We start from the raw sequence: 27,948 nt of genomic DNA, 5'->3' as shown, positions 1-27,948 counted from the left end.
TGGAGCTGCCGTGACAAAATACCATAGACTTGGGGGCTTAAGCAACAGAAATTTATTTATCACAATTCTGGAGGCTAGGAGTCAAGATCAAGGTGCCGGTGAAGCAAGGCTTCCGTCTGAGTCCCCTTCTCTGGCGTGTGGGCGGCTGCTGCCTCGCTGTGGTCGTCCCTCCATGGGGAGGGACCCCTTTTCCTCTTCTCATAAGGACCCCAGTCCCATCGGTTCAGGGCCCCATCTTTACAACCTCATTTAACCTCAGTTACCTCCTAAAGACCCTGTCTCCAAACACAGTCACATTGGGGGTTAGGAATGCATTTGCAGGGAATTCAAACATTCAGTCAATAGCATGGAGAGAGGAGAAAGAGACAGGGAGAGAGAGGGAGAGGGGAAGGAGAGGGAAGAGAAGATGGGGCAGACCCCGTGGCACTGGTGCAGGTCCGGACGGCTGGTGTGGGCAGCCTGGCCGTGACTCCATTGCGACGCTGAGAAGCTCCTTTTCACTTTGGGTAGCTCATCCTCACCTCTAAAGGAGGTGAGGGCCCACCTGCACCTTTTGAAGTAGCAACAAACTTGCAGACAGCAGCTCTCCAGTGCCTCCCTGCTTTTACACTGAGTGACGCAGCAGCCCGGGAGGGGCACTGCCACTGTCTCCACCTGCAGACAAGGTCAGGGAAGTGAACTGGCTGCCCACAGCCCCACAGCTTCGTGTGGTCTAAGCAGTAGGGAGGGAGCTCTGAGGGGGTGGAAGATACAATACAGACCTGAAGGAAACTCAGAACTCCTTGGCACAGCCCATGTTGACAAGCTGGGCCCCCACTGGGGGTCCTTCCTGAAGCCTCCCCAAAACCTCTGAGAAAGGGCCGGCTTGATGGGTGTCCCTTGCAGTGAGCACAGGTCCTGGAAGCTGGCCCGGAGACGGAGCGTGCAAGAAAGCACTCCCTGGACACACGGTTACCCGACAAAGTTGCCTGAGTTGGGGGCCTCTGTCCAGCCTGGGCGTGCTGGATGGAGAAGCCCATCCAGCTCTTGGCTCTCACTGTCGGGTGTGCAGGGCCGAATGCAGGGAGGAGAATCTACTCCTCCTCTCTCAGAGACCCACGAGGGACGCCTAAATCTAATAAGTTAATCTAGACTCCTAGAAACAAGATTAAATTTTCAAATAAAGGCAGGCTCTGACAGCTAAGGCATAAATCTTTTATTTAAAATAGAGACTAAACCCATTCAAATGCGATCAGCGATGACAGATGCAGATAGAAACAAGCTCTGATGGGATGGTTGAGGTGTGGGTTTGTCTGCTCCTGGTGACAGATCGCCAAGGGTGACCTTAAGGACAGTGTATAATTGTCAGCAAACAGTGGTGCCTCTGCATCCATTTCCATGTGGCTTGCTGGCCCAAGGTGGTGCCAGGGGCAAGGATGTCCTGAGGAAAGTGCCCATGCAGGTGGAAAGGAGCTGCCTTGGATGTCTTGGTCCCACTCCTGCCAGGTCAGCTGCCACAAGAGGGCAGGGGAGAGGGGCTCGCCACGTTTGGAGGTGCCTGGAGCACCAGCAAAGGAGCTGGAGATGTGGGGAGCTGTCAGGAACAGGTCGGATGTGGTTAAGGCAATAGGAGCCACGTGGCAGCATTTCCTGGAGCCTCCAGGGCAGAGGGTAAACTCTGCCTGGACCAAACCCAGCTGGGCCATCTACTGCCTTGGCTCTTTATGGTGGACGCTTCCAAGTGCCAGACATTGTGTTCCCTGCATGATCTCATTCAATCCTCACATCAAGCCCTTTTTACAGATGGCGGGCTGGGGCTCAGAAGGGTTAAGTGCCATGCCCAGAGGTGCATAGCCAGTTAGCGACAGAGCTGAGACGCAGCACCAGGCTGCTGGTTCCAGTGTGCACGCTCCTCCCTCTGACACTCTAGGGCTCCCAGGCACCAAGAGACACCAGCAGCTGCATTTGTTCTAACTCAGGCTGAGCGATTTCTCCTAAATATCGCCCCCTTTTGGAAGTGTTCAGATGCTTGCTGCCAGAATGCTTCACAAGGGCACAAACTCGAAGACACCACCATGAACATACATCCCGTGAGGACGAGGGTTCCCCAAAGGATAGTCTATGAATCTGCATTCAGGAAACATGTAATAACAAATGAAACTCCCACAGAAACAATGCTTTTATTAGGTAAATCTGGGAAACTTTGCCTACTCTAGCCCCTTCTGAGAAGTCCTGCAGAAAAAAGAATCCCATCAAACCTTATTTAGTCCAGCATTTCCCCAACTAATTTGAACATGAATATGTTTTGTTTCCCTTGCTGGGCATCATATCATGTCAACCTGTATTCCAAGGAGCACACTTGGGAAAACATTGATATGAGACTTTCATCTCAAGTTGGTCTGTAGCTTCCTGCTTCTCCAGAATGTGTATTTTGGTACATGACATTTCACCTTAAAACCTTGAAGCTATTTACAGATGCCCATAGGAGTCAAAATTGATGTTGGTCGTTTTCAGTCTCTTTAGAATAAAGTCTCCCTGAGTAATTTGATGAAAGTTGTAGATTTTTTCCTGTGGGGAAAGGAGAGGCACTCACATTCATATACACAGACTGATGAATTCAGATTCAGGGGTTCCTCGGTTACCCTGAGGTCATGAACCCCTGTTTTAAGTCACTGTCAGCTAATATCCTTGGCGTCATTGGCAGCCAAGCACTGGGCCCTGCTGGGGTGAGCCTGTGGGAGCAGGGCCACTGAGAGGGTCTGAGTAAACGGGTCAAATCCACTCCTAGCCTTCTGACAAAGGAAAGCAGGAGATTCATGCCAATCACACATGTTCAGTGGACTGGCACCTTCCAGCTGCCCACGGTGTGGGCCAGGGTGCTTTGAGCAGGTTAGTGAGCAGAGACCCCCCCTGAAGGTCTGAAAGACTATCCCACACCTTGTGGGGACCTCAGGGCTCCCATGCCTCTCTGAGCCCCCCACAGTCTAGTGCCTAAGAATTCTGCTGCTGATGCTGGTCCAGCACCCATTCCCTGCCCCCTTTCTTCTAGGAAAGGCACCCCAGCTGTCCTTGGGGCACCACCATGCCCCAGACCTAGCTTGTGTAGATTGTATGGACTGGACCTCATATCAGACTCATGGGTGGGCTCGTGAATCAGGCTTGGATAATCAGAGAATACCACGTTTTTGGTCACAGTGGTTGGTTCAGGGATAAGAATGGGACCAAGCCAAGACAATTAGTGCCAAAAAATACCTTGTGGGATTTTACTGAGAAAGAGAAGTTCTCCTGGGGCTGTTGATAAAAAGATGTATCTGGAGCTTCTGGTGGCCACTTTGACCCATGAAGGGAGCCACCTGGGATGGTCAGAGATGGGAGGAGAGGGTGGGTATCCCAATGAGACTGTTGGAGTCTGCATCCAGCTGTGCCTGACAGTGTATCTAGATCCTGGTGCACTTATAGGAATCAATACATTTCCTTTCTTGCTTAAGACCGTGTGAGCTAGACTTCTGTCACTTGCAGCTGAAACAATCCTAATGCCCCTGTGTCAAAAACACATTCCCAGGCCTGTGAAGGTAGCTGAATTAGAATCTCCAGTAATATGACATATACCTGTATCTGTATCTTTCTGGGGAATCTCATGATCTAACAGCTCTTGCTTGAAAAAAATTTCCTCTGACGTTCTACCATGGAGTGTGCAAGAAGCCCAGTTGGGAAATCCAAGATTATCCACATGTAAAGATGGCTCAGGCTGAATGCTTCGGCAAGTCTAGGAGTCAAGGTATTTTACATGATTTGTCTTTAATCTATTCCTGCTCTTAAACTCTCAGATGGGAATCACACTTTCTGATTGTGGCAATTTCTCAGCTTTGGAGAGGAGGGAGACAGAGTTCTGTGGTTCTGTGTTCAGTAAGACCCATTTCCTCATCTTTCTGCACTCCCAGTCCTCCACGTATGAGCCAAAGTGATGTGTGCCAATTTCAGGCTTGGCTCATACAAATCTCCCTGGGTTTATTTATTCATGATTTTTTCCTCTGTCTTGACACAGATAAATACAGTGACCTTAGAAGCCACTTCAGAGGTGGCAGAGCAACAAGGAGCAAGGGGCCTGGGCACCAGAGTGTGCCTCAAGACAAGTGCCAGTCAGGCCTTTTGACAGGCAGCAATCCCTGTCTGGGGCTTTACACAAGTCAGAAAAAATGTCTATTGTGTTAAACCGCTGATTTTGGGGTTTGTCTGTGATAGTCGTCTCCTTAACAGTGAATTTTTATAAATTCCAGATAACTTTCCCACCTATTGATTCATCTGAGCCTTTTATGAACTCTGGGTGGCAGTCTGGGAGTGGCACTTTACAGATGACAGTGCTTGTCCTGTTTACGTCCTTGGTGGGAGGCTAGAAAATGGTTCTAAACAGAACGCAATTTGATACACATGTAAAGAGATGTCCATGATGTGTCCTTCCTTAGCTCTGACTTCCCTCTCATCATTCAGGCACTTTGGTGGATACATATCTTCCCTGGGACTTAGCACCCATCTTACCACCCTCTGCCTCCATCCCACCTACAGGGAAGACTGAGGGCTCTGCCTCTGTCCGCGGTGCTGAAATGGGTGATAGTTACAGAGCAGAGTAGCTGAATGGGCCAGGACTTAAACACTAGACAGAACTGGGCTTTCCGTCTAAATATGTGTTCCCTTGGGTGGTCTTTCTACCTCTCCAAATATTAATTTTTTGGTCTGTAGAAAGGGAATATTATATCTTCTTCATGGGACTGTTCTGAACATCAAATAATGTGGAGAAACTATTGATGTAGTTGTGTTCTTTTCCATCCTCTGTCCTCCTTTTTAATACTGAACCTCGTCTTCTACCAAAAGTAGCCTTCAAGGGCTAGACCTTTCATTCCCAGAGGCTTGAGTGAGTTAAGAGAAAAACCAAATTGACTCTAGAGAGATTGTCTGTCATGAATCTAGCTGCCATAAGCTACAGGGGGTTATGGGATATCCTAAGAGTTTAAAGGGAATCTGAAGCTTGAGGGAAAATATGTGTTTCTTTGTTCCTCAGTTTCTCCTTCTTTTGTAAAATGATGGGTAGTGCATGGTGGCTTAGGGGCTTCCAACCCTGCAGAACAAGAACATCTTTTAGTATTCTTGCAACCCATTGATCCCCATCTTTGTAAAAATTTTGTCAGCTAAACACACTGCACTTATTAAAGAATAACAAATTCATTTCCCCAATTTTATTAATAAAAGACATTTAGAAATGATTGTGCAATAAAAACAGTATTAAGCTTCCCAGTTTAATGAGGTGGCTGATGCTTTAGTTAGTCTGTATGGCCTCATTATCAGCTAATGCATGGATTCCCTTAGGTTTTCTGAATTTTTGCCAAGAATTCACAGACCCCAGTGCTACTCCTGTGAACCTCAGCACAGGAGTCATTATTTCTGTGGGCTCTCAGGATCCTTCCAGCTTTGACCTGATCCTGTTGAGCTCTGATGTACTAAGCGGGGTAGATTGGAACCACAGAAACCTCCCCTGGCATGCAGTTTAATCCACACCTGGGAGATGGAATTCATAATCCCCATGATTGCCTTCACAGTGAATGGAGGATCTGGAGTAGCAAGAGGCATTCTGAGTGTGTATTTGTGGCTGGAGAGTTAGTTTATTAATGAAAAATATGACAGCCAAGGGAAATAGTCAATTGGCCCCATTTCTGTCCACACACTCTCTCCCAGTTGCACATGGCATGCGAGGCCAATTTGAAATCAGAAGGATGCTTGGTGGGCACAAAACTGGAGTTAGGAAGTTATCTGGATGGTCTTAATGACATTGTCTGCAAACTGTGATGGCTGTTGGGATCTAACTTCGCAGAGTTAGATCCACTCAGGCCCATTGAGGAACCAAGACCCCACTGTGCCCCAGATGATGCTGGAAGCAATCGGCTAACGCTCTGCCTCTGGGCTCTGAGATGCTCAGGCTGCTGCCCTTGTTACCTGCATTCAGGTTTGGGGACAGCTGAGTCTGCTCCCGCAGTGGGGTGGGCACTTGGGCTGGTCTTCCCGCACTGGCACAGGGGATGGCAAGCCCCTTCCTCATGCTGCCAGCCTCCTTTTAGGATAGCTTGTTGGTTTGTTTTTTCCTTACAAGTGCCACCTTCAAGTTTGGATGATAGCCATGGACAACTAAACCATATCAGTCCTGGTGCAGTGACAGAGGACAGGCATTTACAGTGAAGGGCTAATCAAACCTGTTCATCCCATCCCCACCTGAGGAGACGGGGAGATTGCCATGAGAAGTGAGGATCCAGGGAAGGGGACATCAAGGCTGACTGAGAGGATACTGCCTGCTGCCAGCAGGTGATGTCTGCTTCTTAAACTCAGGTTCTCTTGCCATGCCCTGGACCTTCAGCAAGGACTTGCTTCATGCCGCCTCATTTCACAAAGGATGTGTGATAATTTACACAAGGGACACACAAAACAGGACAAAGCAAATAGATGAGTAAACTAGGGCAAGAATAAATTGAGAGTCTTCGCAGTGGCCTGAAAATTTGGGTCTGAGCCTCCTAGTAGCCAAAGCCTAGATGAAAACATGATTGGTCCCAGAATGACAATGCAGTGTGGTAGAGGATTACAAAGAGCCTTTCTGTGGGCACATGGAGAAAAGCTCTTGACTTGGCCAAGAAGGCTCTCTGGAGGAGGTGATACCCAAACATGATGCTGTCTCTTTCAGGGATCTTTGGCACAAAAATGACTGACTTTTACTGGGCTGGACAGAGCCTGAAGGCTGGGGCTGCCTAATGAGTGGCCACTTCCTAGTGAGAAATTTTCAGTATAATAATTGTATTAATTATTTATGCATTACAAATCACCCCAAAACTTAATGGCTTCAATAAAAAAAATGAACATTTGTGATCTCGCACGGTTTTTGCAGGTCAGGAATTCACGAGCTTAGCTAGGTGGTTCTGACTCACACTCCCTCATGAGCTTGGAGAGAAGATGTTGGTGGGAGCTGCTGTCATTTAGGGGTTATCTGGGGTGGGGGGATCTTCCTCCAAGCTGCCTCACTCACAGAGCAGGTAAGTTAATGCTGGCTGTGGGTAGGAGGTCTCGGGTGCTCACCATGCAGACTTTTCCATGGGGATGCCTGAGTGTCCTCATGACATGACAGCAGTCCTCCCCCAGAGCGAGTGATCCAAGAGACTCAGGCGAAAGTCACAGCATCTTTCAGGACCTAGCCTTGGAAGTCACATTCTGCTGTCCCCACAATCTCCTATTAGTACACAGATCAACCCTATTCTGGTTAAATAGCAGGCATGAATACCAGGGGGAAGGGATCACAGGGGTCATTTTGGAGGCTGTACAATTAAAGTGTTAATAATAATAAATGATTTAAATGATAAAGATAACAACCACAGCCAATATGCAGTGGGAACCTAGGCATTGATCTAACTCTTTTACTTGTATGATCTTCATTGAATCCTCTCAATGACTTATGGTTTGGGTACTATTATCAGCCCTACAGTATGGAGGGGAAACGACAGCTCAGAGAGGTTGTGTGAGTGGCCCAAAATCACACAGCAAATAAGTGGTATGAGTCTGAATTTGAACTGATGTTTTTATGAGTCCAGAGCCCATTCTTTTGACTGCAACCCTATACTCCCTCCCTAAGGTACTTTTCTTTTGAACTCTAGAGGCACAGCTCCTCTAGCCCTCTCTTCAGAAAGCCAAGCCAGAGGGCACTGGGAGCTAGAGCAGGAGAAGCCACTCCCCTAGGCTGGCCGGCCCCAAGCCTAGCTTTGCAGGCCTTGGCAAGGCAGAGGATTTACTCACCTCCTGAGGAAGTCTCAGGCTTTGCTTCTTTACTGACTTATGAGCTGTGTAAGTGAAGTGTGTGTCTGACCTTTTCAGTTACTTCTCCTCACGATCACTATAGCTGCTGCAGAGAAATGAACTTCCTTCATGCTTTCCCAGCTGCTGGGAGGGGACCCCACCTTCCTGCATCCTGATGGCTGCCATGGCCCGGGTGCTCAGCAGAGGCAGGACAAGACCGCCTAGGCTCAGAACTCAGGATCTCCCAGGAGGGTCCAAACTGACTGGGCCATGTGGGGTCCATGGAGGCCACTTAACTTTAAATCTGCTCCCAAGACTGCACTCTCCTCTCCAACTCCCACCCCCAGCCCCTGGTCCAGGTCTTCCCCGGGGAACCTGCCCCACCACCATCCCAAGCCGCTGTCTCCCAGAGAAGGCACATCTCCCTTGCCTCGGGGGGTCAGTGCCTCCTGTGTCCTTTCAGGCCCCACCTCCTCGCGTCCCTCTGCTCAGAATGGAATGCTCCCTCCTTGCTGTTCATGTTGTGTGGCATTGTTCCCTCCTCTACTGTGGCCCTCTTTACTTTCGGCTGTACTTACCTGCAGGCTTTCTTCTTTTTTAAAAAAACAAATTGTCATGGTATGTATCTGGAGAAACTGTAGAACCCTCCTCATCTTCTTTGCGCACTGCTCGGTACATTTCTAGTCTCTACCCAATGATCTGTTAAGGTGAGAATGTTAATTTATCCTGGTGGGAATATGCCAACATCACCCCAAGATAAAGATGCCGGCACTCTGAGATGCACTTAGAATAAAACCCCAAATCCTTGCCATGGCTGACAAAGCACTGCAGGGTTTGGCCCCAGCCCACCTTGACCTTGCCTTCCATCACTCTCCCCCTGGCCCACTGAACTCCAGCCACACAGCTGTGACCCTGACCCTGCTCCTGCCCAGGGCCTTTGCCCTGCCACTCCCTCTGCCAGAGCACACGCTCTGCTTCTCTGCAGGCTGGCTCCTTCCCACCACTTCCATCCAGCTCAGCCCTCCCTGACTTCTCCGTCTTGCTGCACAATGCCCAGCGTCTCTCCATTGTAATATCCCACTGTCTTTTCCTCACTGCACTAAACAATTTCAGAAATCACTCCTTCAAAAATGAGTTTCACTTTATTATCTTTTTTTTTCCTTTAGAGATAGGGTCTCATTCTTTCTCCCAGGCTAAGTGCAGTGGCATGATCATAGCTCACTGCATCCTCCAGTTTCTGGGTTCAAGTTGTCCTCCCACCTCAGCCTCCAGAATAGCTGGGACTATAGGTGCACATCACCACGCCTGGCTAATTTATTTCTAATTTTTTTGTATGTGTGTGTAGAGACAGGTCTTGCTATGTTGCCCAGGCTGGCCTCGAACTCCTGGGCTCAGGAGGCCCAGGCTCGCCTCGAACTTCTGAGCTCAAGAGATCCTCCTGCCTTGGCCTCCCAAAGTGCTAGGATTATAGGCGTGAGCCACCTTACCTGGCCTATTACCTTTATCCTCCAGCAGGACATAAGCTCTACATGGACTGGGATCTTGCCCATCTTGCTGGCTGCTGTGTCCTTAGAGTCTCAAAGAGTGCAGGGCATTTAGGAAGTTCTTCATGTTTGCTCAATGAATAACAAGTGGTCACACACAAAGTACTCACATGCAAATCTCTTTCGCCTGTTTGGGGAGTCTCCATCCTAGCCCCTAGTATCTTGCCTCTAGCATGGAACACATAGTGAATGAAATGAATTAAGTCACTTGCCCACTGGCTTATCTTCTTTTTAAGGGGACAGACCAAATCATGTGTTTCTCCAACCCTCTAGCATCTTGAGCCACTGCTTAAAGCGCTTGTTGAATTGAATAGAATCCTTTGAAACTGTTGTGTCACCAACTTTGGTAATTGAAGGAAAGGGGTCTGCCTGGTCCTTCCAATGTGACTTGTTGGAGAAGCTAACACCTGGAGTTCTCATTCTCAGGTGTGGGTTCCGGATCCTGTGAGTGCAAAGGCCACACCTTACACAGCAGACGTGTTGATAGAAAACGGGGCACATCTGCCTAAGATGCCAGGTGTCAGAGGAGCGGCATAATATCCTTCTGACACTTGAAAATTGCAAATTTGAAAGGTTCCTTCTCACTTGTCAGCTGTCCAGGCCTCCCCGAACAGATGGATTCCAGGCCTCACCCTCCGAGGCTGAGCGTCCCGCTGCCCAGGACCAGCCAGCAGACATTGTTAAGATCCCACAGTGGGCACAGAAGCTCAGGTGTCCTAGGCACTCGAGTCTCAGTGTTTTATCAGGATTATTTCAGTTACAAGTGGTTTTAAAAAGGGATTATATTACCTTAAGCACTGAAAAAATGTTGGGTAGAAGTTGCTTGAGGCATAGCTGGATCAGAGCAAGAGACTGGATCTGTCTGTACTTAGTTTATTCTTCTTATGGGGAGAGGCAGGTTGGGGGGCAAGATGGCCCCTGGAAGCCTCAGACTCACTTGTTTAATTTAATTGTCCAATCATCATCCACTCATTCCATTCCAGTCATTCCTTTTTTTTTTTTTTTTCCCCCGAGATGGAGTCTCACTCTGTCACCCAGGCTGGAGTGCAGTGGTGTGATCTTGGCTCACTGCGACCTCCACCTCCTGGGTTCAAGCGATTCTCCTGCCTCAGCCTCCCAAGTAGCTGGGACTACAGGCATGTACCAGCACGCCCAGCTAATTTTTGTATTTTTGGTAGATACGGGGTTTTGCCATGTTGGCCAGGTTGGTCTTGAACTCCTGACCTCAGATGATCTGTCCACCTCGACCTCCCAAAGGGCTGGGGTTACAGGCGTGAGCCGCCGCACCCGGCCTCCAGCCATTCCTTTTATTTCTGGTCCTCAAATAAAGCAGGCACACTCCTACCTTAGGATGTTTGCACTAGCCAGTCTATGTGTCTGGAAATTCCTAGCGCCCACCCCTGCATAGCTACATACCTCATTCCCTGACCTCCTGCACAGCTTTGCTCACACTTACCTTCTCAGTGAGGCTGATCCTGACCCCCCTATTTAAAATTAGAACTCCTCTCCTCAGCCCACCCAATCCTTCTTACCATGATCGCTTTCCACTCCCTCATAGCAATTACTGGCATTTTTTTCTTTGAGACGGAGTCTCGCTCTTATTGCCCAAGTTGGAGTGCAATGGTGCGAGTGATTCTCCTGCTTCAGCCTCCCGAGTAGCTGGGCTACGCCTGGCTAATTTTTTGTATTTTTAGTAGAGACGGTGTTTCACCGTGTTGTCAGGCTGGTCTCGAACTCCTAACCTCAGGTGATCCGGCCACCTCAGCCTCCCAAAGTGCTGGGATTACAGGCATGAGCCACCGCACCCAGCCGCAATTATTGCCTTCTAATGTTTTCCATACGGCACTTATTAATTATCTCTATTGCCCTATCACCCACTAGAATGTCTGTTGTGTTCACTGATATATCCCAAGAACCTGGAGGGCCCTGTCACATAGTAGTCGCTCAATTTGTTAGATGAATGAATGAAGCAGAAAGAAATTAATTCAACATCCAGACATTGGAAATTCAGCAGTGAACAAAAAATACCACCCCCGCCCCCGCAAAAAAAAAAAATCCTCCGTGGTTTTGGACCTTACTTTTTGGTGGGGATGGGAGATGATAAATGAGATTTTAAAGAAGCACTAAATATAGGGCATTGCAGGTGGCAGTGGGGGCTGGGCAGGAAACACAGCAGATGCACAGTCAAGATAAGCCCAGTCCCTGCTGTACGCTGAGAACCCAGCAAGGATGGAGACCGCTCTTCTTCTGTCATTTGAAGTTTATTCTTTTTGGAAGCAGCAGAGGACAAGCACACTGCTAATGATGGTAATAAAGCTTCTCCCAGATTTGTTGACAAGTTGCGTTTGTTTTATTTTCATTCCCTTCTCAATTTGGGAGTGGGCGTGGGCAGCCCCCTGCCAACCCACCATTCCCTTGCCACTTCCCACTCTCATGATTTAAATAAAGAAATATGCAGATTGGCTGGGAGCCGCTGGTGTTTGGAAACCCCTCTTGGTGCCAGCTGCTGCGTGGAGAAGAAGCAACCCAAACCAATAAGCGGGTATTGATTCACATTGGCATTAATCTCTTTTTGTATTGACACAAGTATCTTATCAAAATTTGCCTGGGGGGAACATCCATCTTCATACTGACTTAAAATAGAAGATACTACAGGGTGGGAATTCTATCTATATAGTATAGACCTCTGCATACAAATGCATAATCAATATTTCATCATCAAATTATGATCTGGCTTTCAATGTTTTGCAGAGAGAACCTGAAGATGAGTCATAAAGTGCAATAATAGATTGAAATGCAAAGGCTTTTTTTTTTTCCATTTTAATAAGAGTTGGGGATGCTCCATGGCCATTCTGTGTAGGCGGCAGGAAAAGACCCGTCTGGCTGCAGGAGAGATATCATGGAAACGTTTGCAGACAAGAAGCTGCCTACACTTTGCCATTGCTTGAGAATTAACTATATGAATTAATATAGTTATTATTCAGCCACATTGCTGTGCTCCACCTGGACCCTCTCTGATCCCTTCTGTCGCTTCACTGTACCAGTGCCTCCAGTGGTCAGCAGATGCCACTCTTGGGGAAGTGTTTGGGTGATTAAGTCCCCTGGGGACAGCGCTTAGCCAGAGACTGAGGAGTGGGGGATTAGGAAAGCCCAGCTCCCTTGCCTCAGGGGCAATGCTGAGCCGTCACTGACATCCCAGAGTTCCCCTGGGGATCAGGTAGAAGCTACTCCCAGGTGAAACAAAAAACAGGGGGCTCTGTTTAGACGATTGATTCTCTGTTCTTGGCTCCCTGGCCCCCTTGTCCCATTTCTGCCACTCTGCTATTGTCCCCTGGGAGCATTTCCTTAATACAACACACGCACTTGAAGCCTTGTCTCCAGGTCTGCCTCTGGAAAATCCCACTCAATATGCACCATTCATTCTTCAAGTGTTTGTTGGCTCTCTACCATGTACCATGCACTGTGGTTGGAGCTAGGGATGGAGCAGTAACAGTAGTAGGTATGGCTCACATCTCTGTGTCAATTTTGGTGTGTTTGGCTATAAAAGAGAGAAATTAAACAGTATCTTATCATCTCACTTTGGCGGGAAGTCAGAGGGCTCTGGAACTGGTTGCTATAGCTGCTCAGTGGTGTAATTAGGGTCCTAGTTCTTTCCATCTCTCTGCTTGGCTGTGTTTGGGGTTGGTTTCATCTTCAGGCTGGGCGCGAGTGGCTGTAGCACTTCCAGGCATCGCATCCAGACACGGTGACACCCTAAGGAAGGAGAGAGCCCTCTTCCGGTGGCTCTTTCAAGCAAGACCCTTTGCTTGAAGCCCCTGCCTCCCCAGCAGAAATACCTTTGTCTCATTGGCCTCATTGAAATAGGTCCCGTGTCCCTGCCCAAGCCACTCTGGCAAGGGGACGGAATTACCTTGGGCTAGTCAGGTCTTCTCTGGACCTCTGAATCAGGGTGGTTTCTCCTGAGGCTCAAGGGAGGTTCGAGGGGGGCAACAACTGAGTGCAACTGAGATTCTGTTGGAAGGAAGACGAGAACTTCATCCTGTGCTTTCTCCATCACCCTGCCCTCTTGGTCTCCTTCATGGCACTCCAGTCAGGCTACAATCAGACGTGCATTCCTCTGTGTGATTCCATCTGTCTCCTTTACTACATGGTAACTCCCTGAGGGCAGCACCCTGACTGTTCTGCTCAGCAGTGGTGAATATGATGATTACGATTAGCACAATGCCATGCAGATAAATATGCTCAATAAATACTTGATGAATAAATGAATGGTAATATCAAGGGAATGAATGAATGAATGAATGAATGAATCAACGTGTGCAGTTTAAAGAGCAGACATGTAGAAAAGGTGGAAGTGGAGCTCACCATCCCCTCATGTGGATGGTGTCCTGTGAGGATGGCGGCAGCAAGGGGCCCCTCCTTGCCAAGGCAGCTCAAGGATAGAATAGGAGGGGGCTTCCTTCTTCCCAAGGCAGCAAGGGTGGTAGCTCTGGGTCAGAGAGACTGAGGCTCATGCTTTGGCTCTGATGTCAGCTGTGTGGCTTCAGGCGTGACTCCTCCTCTCTGCATCTTGCCATCTTCTCTAGAGATATTGTGAGGATTCAGTCATTGGACAATTTATTAAGCACCTATTGTATGAAGATGCTGGGGTGCATGTAGGAAAAGTACAGGGTGTTGTGGAAATACTTATGGGATCCAGCTGCAGGCTTCAGGGTTGGTGCTCAAGCTGAGATCTGAAGGATGCACAGGGATCAGGAGGTGACTGGGGTGGAAACGAGGGGCAGGGAAGAAAGCATGCCCCGAGGCTCTGAGACAGGACCCAGGCTTCTTTGAGGAAAATGAGGCCTAAGCTTGGGGTAAGGAGGGGGGCATGGTATGAGAGGAGGCAGTGAGGCCAGCTGAGGCCAGACCAAGGAGGCTGCGGAGGCCACAGCACACCTTCTACTGTGTGTTTTATTTTCTTATATTTAATTTAATTTATTTTATTATTTTATTTTATGTTTTAGATAAGGTCTTGCTCTGTTACGCAGGCTGAAGTGCAGTGGCACGATCCTAGCTCACTGCAGCCTTGAACTCCTGGGTTCCAGTGATCCTCTCACCTCTGCCTCCCGAGGTGCTGGGACTACACAGGTGCACACATCACACCTGGCACTGTAATTTACTACATGTAGTGGGCCCCACAGAAGGGATCTGGGTGGAATGGCAGCCTGATGAGATTCAGCTGTCAATTGGAGGAGATGCTCAGCCACGTGGGACCAGGTGAGGGGCTGCTGTGTTTTCCCAGCAAGAGTCAAGGTGGCTTGAACTGGTGCAGCGGCAACGGTGAAGGAGAGGCATGGGCTGATTCGAGAGATGCTGGGAGGCAGATCTGGTAAGCGAAGGAGAGTCAGAGATCCTGCCCTTGTTGGCTTCAAGGACACTCGTTCTCACCTGCTTACTGAAAAGTATAAACCAGGTCCTCCCCATCAAGGAGGATAAACCCAAGGGTTTGCAGAGGGACGCTTTCTTTCACTCTGAGCCCAGAGAATGAGAGGAGAATCAGGCATAATGCAGTTAAGAAATACTATGTAATCAATCACACTAGCTTAAATAAAATGCAATGTCCAAACGCATTGCCTAGCATTTTCCCACATCAAACAGAGGCCCAGGTGAATCACCAGCATCACTAGAGTATTGTTATTTGAAGCTGGAAAGGGGATCCTCAATTTTGGTGGATGGGAAGGTTGGTGGGGAGCAAATATAAGAATTGCTTAGGGGTCTAAGTTCTAGGAAAACTAACACACTTGTGAGAAGGGGCTATAATGCCACAGAAAGTGTGTGGCATTTGGATTTGGAAGGCCTGCCTTTGAATCCCAGACTGCTATACATTAGCTGTGTGACCTTGGCTGGTCACTTAGCCTCTCTGATTCTTTTCCTCATCTAGAAAAGGGAGCTGATCACAGTTGCTTCAGAGGCTACTGTGGAAATAAAAGGAAATAATGATAGAGAAAGTGCTTTGTCAGCTGCAAAGAAATATCAAATATTGGAGATTATTAAGAAAGTATATTTTAAGCAAAAAAGTGTAATTGGGTGATATTATTGAATTGATGTTATTTTGCATTGTTAGGATAATGTCTTTATCCTTAGGAGAAGCACACTGAAATATTTAGGAGGGAAATGTCAAAATGTTTAAAACATTCACATGGTTCGGAATAAAACAAAATTGTACAGCTCAATGTACGATCTGTCTACCTATTTACATCTATATTTTGAAAAAATGTGGCAAAACATTAACTATTGGTGAATTTAGTGGAAGGATATTAGTGTTCATTAAGCTATTTTTAATGTTTCGGTAGACTTGAAAACTTTCATAATAAAAATCAGAGGGGAAATCATTTCCAGGTGGACAGCAGGTGTAAATAGGGAGGGAAAACAATGCCTCAGAAGGTGACAAAGGGCAGTATCTTCATGGCCTTGGGTAAAGGTGGCATTTGGTAGGGAGGAAACACCCAGCCTCTCTCCCTGGCTTTCCTATCTCCTCCTGGTGCCTTCCTTAGGCTGAAGTAAATGATAAGTCCAAGGGCAGAGCCTAGTGATGAAATCCAGGATTGGCCTCCAAGGGCACGGAGCCAGGAAGAGGATAGAGTGGGACAGAGAATGGACCCAAAGGGATGACTGGAGAAAAACCAGCACCTCTTCTTTTGCAGGGCATGGCAGACAGAAGCTCAAATGCCAGATAATCATTTTCCCAGCCTCCAGATGCAAACCTGGCCGAACTTTCTCCTGCAAAGTAAAGTCTGTGGCTGGAGCTGGGAAGTCTTTTCCTTTCTAACTAGAGAACAATGAGTGACAAGAAGCTGTCCCTCCTTCCCTGATTTTGGATATTATTGTGTGAGGATATGATGCCAGGAGCTGCGGCAGCCACCCTGCCACCAAGAGGATGGCAGAGCAGCCACCAAGAGCCCTGACATTGTTGAGCAACACAGTCTGGACCACCTGCTGCCAGACTTCCCAACACATGAGAAAAAGTCTCCAGTGTTGGGGTTCCCTTGTGGTTGGGCATCTTGTCTCTTGCTGCCACTAACATCTTAACTGATGCACAGGTCATAGTCGAAGTGACCTCCCGGTCTCTTTTCCCTTAGTCACACCCTTTCCCCAACATGCTAGATTTTCTACTGTGATAGTAACAAGAAAAAAACCAACAACAATGAAGACAAGGAAATGGGAGCCAGACATGGTGGCACATGCCTGTAATACCAGCACTTTGGGAGGCCAAGGCGGGCAGATCGGATCGCTTGAGTCCAGGAGTTCAAGACCAGCCTGCGCAACATGTCAAAACTGTCTACAAAAAATATAAAAATTAGCCAGTGTGGTGGCATGCACCTGTAGTCCTAGCTACTTGGGAGGCTGAGGTGGGAAGTGGGAGGATCGCTTTAGCCTGGGAGGATTACTTTAGGTGGAGGCTGCAGTGAGGGGAGATCACACCACTGCAGTCCAGCCTGGAAATGGGCCCTGAGGAAGAGAAAAGCATTGCGGTGCCATCTATCATATCAGAGGTGGGAAACGCAGAAGCACACGTCACAGTTTGCATTTCCATACAGGGTGCTGAGCTGACGGATGGAGGAGGCAAGGCTTCACCTGTGGAGCACATGCAGTGCTGTTTGCCCAGACTCCAGGATCCCTAGCACAGCTCTGCGCACCCATCTCGCAGCTTCTGAGTGCTGTGCTGCTAAGAGCTCCCCACCCCAGGACCGCAGGGGCCGCTTTTCTTGGGCTCTGGAGCCACATCACTCTTACCGAGAGCCCAGGTAGCCAATGACTAACCCATGTAGAGAAAAATGCCTCACAGCTCCTTTGCCCCAGGCTCTGAGGTGTAATTTATGCTGCAAAGCCCCTCAACGGATCAGGCTGAGTCTTGGGGTTCACCCCAATTGCTTCTCCACTCTTACTCAACTGTCCTGGGAGAGCTCTGCAGGAGATGCAGGAGTAAAGTCACATGCGGTGGCAAACAAAAGACTCCATGAGGCCTTTGTCCTGAGAGCCTTGGCCATGGCAGCTTGATCCCTGCATAGATCACCGAAAATCCCCCTGCAGGCTCTCCTGTAAGGCAGAGCTTACAAAGCCCACTATTGTCTGACTCTTTCAAGGATTTACTTCATTTGCAAGTGGCTTTTCTCACCACAATGTCATTAATGTGTGGAGAGACCTGGAAGCTGGCATTTATGGCATTTACGTGAAAGTGATGTCTAAATCCTCAGGCTCAGGCAGGGCAGAAATAGCCAGGAAGCTGACAGCAGAAAGGGGACATTTGCCTGGAAACAGACTTATTTATCTTCTCCCACTAAAGCTTCTCTCTTAGCAATGAAGTCTTTGCCCTCTGCTGGCTCCAGGACATGTCAAGACTTTGAGCTTGGTAGAATGTGCTGCCAACACTGCTTCCCTTATTACCCATTTCAGTCACTAATCTGGGACTACATCAGTGGTTCCCAACCCAGGCTGCACTTCAGATTCACCTGGGAGCTTTTCCAAAATACACTGCCCCTCCTTCCTCAGGAATCTCTGGCACAGGTATGAGATCCTGGCAGGTATGAGAGAAAGGAAAATAAGAGAATCTGCCTGGTAACCATCAGAGGCAAGGAATTAACATATTATCTAAAACTATGTTAAAAGGTCAGAGCCCACCACAGTGGTGCATGCTTGTAATCCTAGCGCTTTGGAGGCTGAAGCAGAAGGATCACTTGAGCCCAGGAGATCAAGGCTGCAGTGAGCCATGACCACACCACTGTACTCCAGCCTGGGCACATCAGGCATCAGTATTATTCTAGCACCCCAGTTGACTTCAATGAGCAGCAAGGGCTGAGAACCGCTGCTTCACAGAAGGGAGCATGTCCTGGGGGATCCAGGAAGGTCTTTCCAGGCCTGATCTTGTTGGTTACTTTCATTTCCCGACAAAGGGCTGCTAGATCCTCCTGTGGCTCTCTTGGATCATCCTTGCGTTTTGCAAAATATTGCTTTCTTTAAACATTCAAATATGTGGCTCCTCTGAAACTGTGAACATTTCTGAAGATCATCATGAACTGTTGGTAACTGTAAAATCCAAGGAGGCAGAGTCAGAGGAACAGGTATCTGGAGACATGGGTGGCTGCTGCTCCCAGCATCAAAAGCGTTCATCTGAAGTCATCCCGTGGGTGGAAGCTTCTGCTCCTCCATGGAGGGCCATAGAGTGTGTTAGAGTAAGTGAGGCTGCAGTGTGAGGTTAGGCAGTCTGTGTACACACCTTCATAAAGCATGTTAGCTTTTGTAAAGTGCTTACTAGATCACGAACATTGCTTTTTTTTTAAAAAAAATCAGAGTTTATCACTTGACAAAAGATGTAATTTTCCAACACACACTCAGAAGTACCACTGTGAGTGGTAATTTGGCCCTTATAAAGTTATTATCATTTTCCTGTTATTTTCACCTGTGTTCAAGGGGAGAAGCAAAGCTTGATCTTCAAATGAATAACATAAACTTTACTTAATTACCCAGAAAGATTTGCTTTTTTTTTTTCCAGTCTAAGCATTTTAATGCCCACCATCAAAGGCAGAGGGTATCTGAGGGAGAGAATTTCACAACAACTTTACCATCCCACTTCATGAAATTCTGACCTTTTATTTATTTATTTTTTATTTATTTTTCAGAAAGGGTCTCGCTCTGTTGCTCAGGCTGGAGTACAGTGGCGTGATCATGTCTCACTGCAGCCTTGATCTCCTGGGCTCAAGTGATCCTCCTGCCTCAGCCTCCCAAAGTGCTAGGATTACAGCATGTACCACTGTGCTGGGCTCTGACCTTCTAACATAGTCTTAGAGAACATGTTAATTCATTCCCCCTGATGGTTACCAGGCAGATTCTCTTATTTTCCCTTCTCTCATACCTGCTGGTTAGGAAAGACATTATGTCTCTATTAAAATTCTTTATTTGACTTAGTATACAACATCCCATTTTGGGTGTTGTTTGAATCCCCAACACCCAGAAAATTGAGATTATTTGTTTGACCTCATGCAGGAAAAATAAACATTTAATGAATGGTATTTGCCATTTTAAAAAGGTTTTTTGGGGGTGGTGATAAATAGATGCAACGTTTATCTACTGCTCAATACCAGGTCACTTGGCCTCCTGATCCATACAAATATTCATTCTGAGCTGTGGTTATGCACTGAAGAGAAATGTCACCACTTCCAGCTTACGCAACTGCCATCTGCGACTTGGCCTTTGCCCATTGCTTTGTGGTTTTGCTACCTATGCACCATCCTTCTACTCCAGCAGGGGGTCTCAGCCCTGACTGCCCATGAACAGCACTTGAGGCTTAAAAAAGATGGGTGTGCCAGCCCTAGGCCCAGAGATTCTGATTCCATTGGCCTAGGATGGGGCCTAGGCACAGGTATATTACAGCTGACCCCCAAGGGAGTATAATATGCAGGTGGCTTTGGAAGCACGATTGTTGACCGTCAGGTCTTCCTGATAGCTGGCAACACTGCATCCTCTGCCTGGTATCCCCAGCACCTGCGATGGAGTCTGGCACAGGATGGACACTCACGAGTCTGCTGTGAATGATGCATCGACTGTACCTGGAATGAACTTGGAATCCTGGTACCATCATGCCACAGTATCACCCTCTTTGGATGTATTCCTCAGATGCTGTGAATTAACCACGAAGCCAGACTGTCAATTCTAAAGAAGCAGGGCTGCTGGAACACAAATTCGTCATGGTTCACCCTTGGCCCATGTTCCATTATTTGCTAATATTCAAAGACAATGCTATAGCATTTAGCCAGTAAAAACAAAAAAGAAAAGAAAAAGAAAAACAAGTCAGTATATTGAAAAGGAATATTATGTTATTAGAAATGCATGGCAATAGATTGTAGACACATGAAGCACAAATACCAATGCTACCTAATCACTCCAGAGAATGCTGTGCAGAACAAACATCCCTTTCTTTCATGTGGTTTAAAAAAATAGCTACCTAAATACAAAATTTTAAAATAGTTACCGAATACAAAAGCAGAAACCCAACTGTCAATTTTTCATTTTATTTTTGGCTGGTTGGCTGATTGATTGATCCACTCATTCATTCATTTGATTTGGGCGTACTGAGCCTCTTTGTACCGGGCACTGTTCCAGGTGATGGGATACCGCAGTGAACTCAAGTGACCTGGGCCTAGTCTCATGGAACTTATATCAAACATGGGAGGTAGGTAAGAAACGAGTAAGCAGATAGCACAGAACTCAGGCAGTAATGAGTGTAGTGGGATCAAATCACAGGGGCCAGGGAGCAGGTGCAACCCTGGTGGTCATGGAGGGTGTCTCTGAGGATGTGGCCTGGGAGCTCAGGTCTGGATTTCTGAGGGCAGGAGACAGCAAATGCATGGGTGCAGAGGCAGGAACGAACTGGAAATGTGAGCAACAGAAAGTCCAGGGGCTAGAACTTGGCAGGAGAAGGAGGAGTGGTATGAAATGGGAGGCAGGAGCTGGATAGCGTAGGGGTCTGCATGCCATGGTAAGGACTATGTATGGGGACAGTAAAAATGGCAAATGATGCCATCAGTTTCCACTTTAACAGAATTGCTATCACCCAAGAGGTCTGTAATGGGAAAACCGGCTGAGTGAGTTCTCTAGCCTTGGCAAAGCCATTCCATTATTGGGTCAAGCCTCACAAAATCACTTGAGTAAAAAAATAATTGCAAGAATTTTCTTTTCTTCTTGAGTGTTGGAATGGGAGTGGGGGATATTGAGTCTATTCTTCCCCCAGATATCCATGTAGCCTTTTAATTTTATTTTTCTTTTATTAGACAGGGTTTCGCTCTATCACCTAGGCTGGAGTGCAGTGGCGTGATCTGGACTCACTGCAGCCTCGACTTCCTGGACTCAAGCGATCCTCCCACCTCAGTCTCCTGAGTAGCTGGGACTACAGGTGTGCACTGCCACGCCTGGCTAATTTTTGTATTTTTGTAGAGATAGTTTCACCATGTTGCCCAGGTCTCAAACTCCTGGGCTCAAGTGATTTTCCCACCTCAGCCTCCCAAAGTGCTGGGATTACAGGCATGAGCCACTGTGCTCGGACCCCCTGTCTTTTTATTTTCTTCATTTAAACCTCTGTTCAAATGTCATTTCCCCAAAGAGGGCTTCCTCTCTGCTTCTGGTGGTCTTCATGGTCTCTGCTACTACAATATATTATATTGTATATCTATTTGTTCATTTCATACTTCCCCCTCCCCTCTGGAAGGTAAATCCCTGAGGTCAAGGGCTTCACTTATTTTGTTTTCTGCTGTACTCAGTACAATCCTTGTACTCAGCACATGGTAAGTGCTCAACTAATATCTGTTTAATGAATTAGTTGGAATAAATGCCATTGGATTTTGCTGCATTTATTTGGGCACAAAGGACTTGGGAGAGCCCTTGTGTTGCTATGCTTCTGTTTCCCAAGCACATTCGTGTCCTTTCTAATCTTTCTGCCTTAATCACTTTAAATGTACCGACAAGCACAATTGACCAATTAATAGCGCTTATGCTCTTGTTACATCATTTGTAATCCATGATGCTCTTTCTATTCGTAATGGCCTTTCAATTTTTCATGACTCAAAACGGATGACATGCATAATGAATACAAATAGCAAATTGATTAAATGCAATGCATATTCTACTGCTTGCTGGGCTTATGCCTGTTATTAATGACAGAAATCCAGCAAACTCTCATGAAAACACCAATGACATACAACCTTTAATGCAAGATGCTGGAGCACTAGGGGTCCTAAATTTTCCTAATTACTGAGCAACAGCAGAGATTAATTTCCCAGACGGCAACCTTTGTAAATAAGAACATCAGCATGGCTGCTTTGTCCAAGTTCTTTTTGCTGAGCACAAAACCCATCATGCAACCCATTTTTACTTCATCAGACTATTTGTGTTGTGTTTCAGAAAAAAAAATACACTTGAGAGATCGCCTTATGAGCAAAGTATAAAGGATGCCACTTGTGCAAAATCAAATTTATTGTCTGCTCAGGGATTGCATGTCTTTCTGGAATCCTAATACACTGCGATACAGAAGCCACATAGCTTCAGTTCATGTATTGAGTATTAAAGCATCACAAAAATGATAACACAAAACAAGAAAGAAGATATGGATGGGAGTCTGCAATGGACAGTACGGTAAAGGACATGCTTTTAAAAGACCTGCCTGGCTAAATGTGCAGTTTTGGTTTCAGATTGCCAAAGAATGAATTGGTTTGCAATAAAAGGCTGTGTGAATCAACCTTCTTTTCCCCATTAGTGGGAAACCTTCTGGGAAGCAGGCATTTTCTTTGACACACTGGGGCACATGATGACTGGTTTACCCAGGTTGGCACTGGAAAACAACAAGCACCTGTCTGATGGGTCTATTAAGAGGGAATGAAGTGGATAGGAGCATTTGTCAAGGCCCACCCACGCTCAGAAATCATCGATCACAGCATGCTGACCACTGCTCCTGCACTCTTTCTCCTGAATCACAAATGGGCCACTCTGCAGAAAGAAGGTGGGGTGAGAGAATGGGCAGCTGTGGTCTTGGTCCACTTCCCCAACAGCTCTTCAGATAACACCTTGACAGGTCTGCCTCCACGATTATTCAGGCTCTGAGTCAGTGGAATTCCAAACCCAGGGAAAGCAGAGCTCTGCCAAATTTGCGGCCTGCACCCTGCCAGTTTGCAGCCCAGAGTGGTTTTGATGATACCTAGTCTAGGCTTAGTAGATTCACTTCTACCTCTGAAAGTGTGCACATCATCTGGGGTTGGAAACTCCAGAAGTGACCCCGAACAAGTGAGTGGTGTATTGGGAGATACAGAGAGTCTGGGTAGTGAGGGAGAAGTTAGACAGGGAAGGGAAGGCGGCCACACAATATAGGATGCATTATTAAGTCAGCTACCACAGTGGGTGATGGCAGTTGAATCTCACAGGGTAACTCTGGAAAACTGCAAAGTACGTGCCTTGGAATTACTTTAGCCAAGGGGTGAGGGAGCTGGAGTATTTATACCCATATAACCAGCAGTCATTGCTTCAGAGTGTCCCCAGAGATATTAATTCCCAGGCACTTTCACCTTTCCATGCCTATGGACAAAGTGGAGCCTAGGGGCCATGTGTCTGACAAAGATGCAATGGATGTGGGAGGAGCGCCCATACAGACTGCTTCGAAGTCACCCAAGGACTTAGGATTCCTTCCAAGATATACAAAACCCACACCCCCACCCCAAACTTCTGAAGGCATCACCATTACTCATGATCAAAATGTCTGATTAATGTACACAGTGCATTAAGCACACTTTTGAATGTGATTTGAAGGGGAATGACATTAACAGACTCTACTTGCTGAATTTTCCACTCTATGGAGATGGCAAGACAGACTTCTTGCTAACATTTAGGAAACACACATGCCCTCCTTCCCCACTGTCATATGTCTATGTGAGAGAATAAAGAATTCACAACTAGTTCTAAAAAAAAAAGAAACTAGGAAGAGAAATACAGACTACAGAGTAAGATAAAGCAATAGCGCTAACAGAGAGACAGACAGAAAGGAATGAGAATTTCATTTATTAAAATTGGAAAAAAAAACCCAAAAATTATTGGTACCTTTAAACATGTTCCCCAGATGAAGCCTGAGGTACTCTGCTGGAACTTTCTGATTGTAATATGGAATCTGGTTGTTAAACAGCCTCATTTTGTACTGGAATTCATCTTTTAAAGCCAAATAATTCTTTAGCATCTCCATTTCTTTTGACACTTTAGTTGCAAAAATCCTTTCTTAGTGCGTAACAATGATAATAATTAGTATTTATTTCATGCTTACTATGTGTGAATTGTTTTGCATGTATTAACTCATTTAATACTCACAATAAACCCATTAGTTTCCCCATTTCACAGGGAAAGAAGCTGAGGCTCAGAGAGGTTCAATGACTAGCCCAAGGTCACTCAGCAAGTGGAGCTAGGATTTAAATCCAGGGGGTCTGACTGCAGAACCCCCAATTTTTACATCTCCATATTATCTTTCTTTCATGTGCCCTAATTACTTACCTTAATAGGCACATGTTTTTACAAACATAAATCCTTCCTTAATTGTTTCTATCCCAAGGATGTGATGGCTTGACATTTTATGCTGAGGTAAGTGCAATACTTTCACATGAACAACATCCTAAAACAGAGCTCATTCAAGGAGGAGAGAGGCCCCAACCTCCCAAGCATGATGTCTGGTTTCTCCACCAGCATGCCCGGGTCTCTCGCCAGGAAAGCCTTGAGAGTTTTACCCCACACCCATCTTGGAATCACATGCTCTCTAAATCTAGGGAAAATCACTGTGGGCTACAGGAAATCAATTTTGTTTGCTTCTCTTTGCTACTGGATGAGCCTACTCAACCACTGGACTCCATATTGAGTAAAAATAAGAAACATGCAAATGGCACTCCATTCTTATTTGTTACCTTTTTACTAAATAAAAGAAGGAAGTCTGAGTGATCATAGATAGAACCATTGCTTAGAAAGCACTTGAGCGATTGTTTAGATTCACATTTATTATGGTGTGAGCTGAGTCTAAAAAATAATTGACTTTTTTTTTCCAGTAAGGCTTATAAATACAGATCCAGAGAGGCCTCTCATTCTCCTAACCATCTTTCCAGGCGGAGATGAGAGGGAAAAAGCTCATGCCTATGATAAAAGCCTATGGTTTGCTTTTCCACGATGTTTCTATTACAGTGTAAGTGTGTATATGGCATCAGTACATATGCACATAAGTGCCATTTGCTAAATTTAAAAGAAAGATGGTTTTCCCACTTCTAACACTTAAGGACTTAGAAAAGATAATGCTTTAAGAGGCAGCAAAATCCACGACTACACACAGATAAAAGACCCTCTTATTTTTCTAAATATTTAGAGAATTAGTCTACAGAAGGACTACAATGGAAACTACCAAAGTGAGATGAGATAAAATGATAAAAGTGCACCTAGGGAACCGTTTAAGTATGCGAGAGTGTCTATGGAGTGTGTGTATGTGTGTGTGTGTGTCCCCATTTACACACACACAAGAGAATGAATAATTTTAAGCAAAAGCATTCAAGAATTTTATCATTCTGTCTTGACTTGTCCTTTCCACATGTTCAGGTTCAGTAATAACGGCAGCTTTGAAAGTGTCAGGACCAGATCAGTCAGGAGGATTCATTTAGAAATTGTGACTGGTCACAATGTGCCTTTATTTAGCCAACCCTCATAATAAGCGATTTCTATTACACGGGGCTGCTGTGTGATGAGGTGGAGAGCGCGTAACTGAGGCTCTCTAGTCAGACACCCGCAGAGCCTGTGCCATCCACACGCTCACCACAGCTCCTGTCTCGGCATGGGGGAGGCAGGCGGAGGGATGAGCAATATGTATTTCAGATGCCCTTTTGGTTTGGGGGCTGTCAAGTCTCCTGATGCTGGACAGGACTGGGCTATATTGAAAATTACACTAATTAGGAGATTTGGATTTTTGACTCATCTTTGTTTCTGTAAACATCTTGTGAGTCTATCTAGCCTCAAATACCCAGCTAGAAACAAATATACGGAGATGATATGAGATTGTGCATGGAAGTCCCTCAAAGATGGCATTACACAGACTAAGACTACTAAGTAAAAAAAGTCCATGTAAATTTCAAAGAGCCATTAGCTGAGTCATATATTTACAAAATATAGTCAACCATCTGACTAAGCTTTCTTAACTTCTTGAAAATCTGGACAATGAGATGCTAAGACAATAATAATGACCCAGAGAGATTGATGAGAAATTGAAAATTCTGCAAACACAAATAAAAAAGACAGATAAGCATAAAAATGGAAACGAATGCTAAATCAAAAGTCTGTCTCTAGCAAGTTGACACAATTCTGCAAGCCACAGATGCTCATAATTGGAACACTAAATAAAATAAGGATGTTAAATTAGCAAATAACTCAGTAAGGTTAGAAAACATATTTATGGTATTAAAGTGTCCCGGGTAATAGCAACATAACAGAGAGAAGAGGAGATCTTGGGCTGGGCATGGTGGCTCGTGCCTGTAATCCCAGCACTTTGGGAGGCCGAGGCAGGTGGATCACCTGCGCTCAGGAGTTCGTGACCAGCCTGGCCAACATGGACAAATCACGTCTCTACTAAAAAAATACAAAAATTAGCTGGGCATGGTGGTGGGTGCCTGTAATCCCATCTACTTGGGAGGTTGAGGCAGGAGAATCATTTGAACCTGGGAGGTGGAGGTTGCAGTGAGCCGAGATCGCACCGCTGCAGCCCAGCCTGGGTGACAGAGCAAGACTCTGTCTCAAAAAAAAAAAAAAAAAAAAAAAAAAAAAAAAAGGAGATCTTAAATATTATGATGGGAAAATCTCTAGAATCAACTTCGTGGTGAGGAGGGGGCCGTTCAGAGATATAATTTAAAGTTGAATCATGGACAACCGAAGGTTTAGACTAAAAGAAAAACAGAGGTACCAAGCGCAAAACCTTGCTAAATACAACACTGTGAGATAAATAGGGAGATAGGCATCACTGTTATATAGAAGATGTTGAAGGAAAATTAGAAGGGTTCTTTGTCCCCTCAATATTCAACTGATTTCCAAAAATGCAAGCTATTAAAGTATGACATAACTTCATAAAAGAGGGTAATTTTTACTTCTTGGGAAAGTCAGAAGAATAAAATGCAGAAATATTTATAAAATAAAGTTTTATTTTTACTTTAATTTCACTATTTTATTTTGCTTAAACTAATGCTTATATTACACTTACTGTGTATATCAGGCACCATTTAAAATACTTTGTAAACATTAACCGATTTAATCTTCTTAACAACCCTAGAATGTACTATTATTAAACCCTTTTACACGTGAGAAAACAGGCTTGGAGAGATTCAGTGACTTGCCCAAGGCCACACAGCTAGTAAAAGGTGGAGCTGTGGCCGTGTGCGGTAGCTCACGCCTGTAATCCCAGCACTTTGGGATGCCGAGGTGGGTGGATCACAAGGTCAGGAGTTTGAGACCAGTCTGGCCAATATGGTGAAACCCCGTCTGTACTAAAAATACAAAAATTAGCCAGGTGTGGTGGCAGATGCCTGAATCCCAGCTACACAGGAGGCTGAGGCAGGAGAATCGCTTGAACCCGGGAGGGGGAGCTTGCAGTGAGTCGAGATTACACCTCTGCACTCCAGCCTGGGTGACAGAGCGAGACTCTGCATTTAAAAAAAAAAAAAGGTGGAGCTGTACACAGGCCACCGGGCTCTACAGTACTTGCAATCACTAAGCTATGTTGCCTTTACAAGCAGAGGAATTAAAAAGTGACATATTTTGATGATCTTGCTCTAATTTCTTAGCTTCTGAACCTTTGAAAGATTAAGTGAATATATAATACAATTCTACACTCTTTAGAACAGGAAAAAATTTGAGGAAATTTGATCTTAAAATATATCCATTTGTCTTTAAAATTATACATGGAACCTTAAGAATTCTTTAAAAGAGTAAATTGGTATTTCATACAAACACACACAAAAGAGACTAGATGGATTGGAAAGATGTATTTTTCTGTTATTCCACAATAACTTTTACATTGAGATCA

General features: G+C 46.0%; 1 long non-coding RNA gene across 1 annotated transcript, besides 2 other annotated features; it reads right to left on the bottom strand.

Moving 5' to 3' along the window:
• Positions 1–29: 29 nt before the first annotated feature.
• LOC124903689 (uncharacterized) lies at positions 30–26,438 on the bottom strand. Its single transcript, XR_007065068.1, has 2 exons — positions 19,931–26,438; positions 30–13,926 (listed from the first exon to the last, which is right to left on the bottom strand). It is a non-coding gene; the product is annotated as an uncharacterized LOC124903689 (long non-coding RNA).
• Positions 4,455–4,749: a silencer, noted in NCBI's record as "tiled region #1482; HepG2 Repressive non-DNase unmatched - State 10:DNaseD, and K562 Repressive non-DNase unmatched - State 23:Low". NCBI's record gives its function as "represses a minimal TATA promoter and a strong SV40 promoter by Sharpr-MPRA in HepG2 and K562 cells {active_cell/tissue: HepG2 | K562}" and the evidence as "EXISTENCE:reporter gene assay evidence [ECO:0000049][PMID:27701403]".
• Positions 4,482–4,682: a silencer, noted in NCBI's record as "peak2583 fragment used in MPRA reporter construct". NCBI's record gives its function as "represses an SCP1 promoter by STARR-seq MPRAs in K562 erythroleukemia cells {active_cell/tissue: K562}" and the evidence as "EXISTENCE:reporter gene assay evidence [ECO:0000049][PMID:32103011]".
• Positions 26,439–27,948: the final 1,510 nt, after the last annotated feature.

The sequence above is a fragment of the Homo sapiens genome, chromosome 16, assembly GCF_000001405.40.
Source record: "Homo sapiens chromosome 16, GRCh38.p14 Primary Assembly".
Classification (NCBI taxonomy): Eukaryota; Metazoa; Chordata; class Mammalia; order Primates; family Hominidae; genus Homo; species Homo sapiens.
This window is presented reverse-complemented; position numbering and strand designations above follow the sequence as displayed.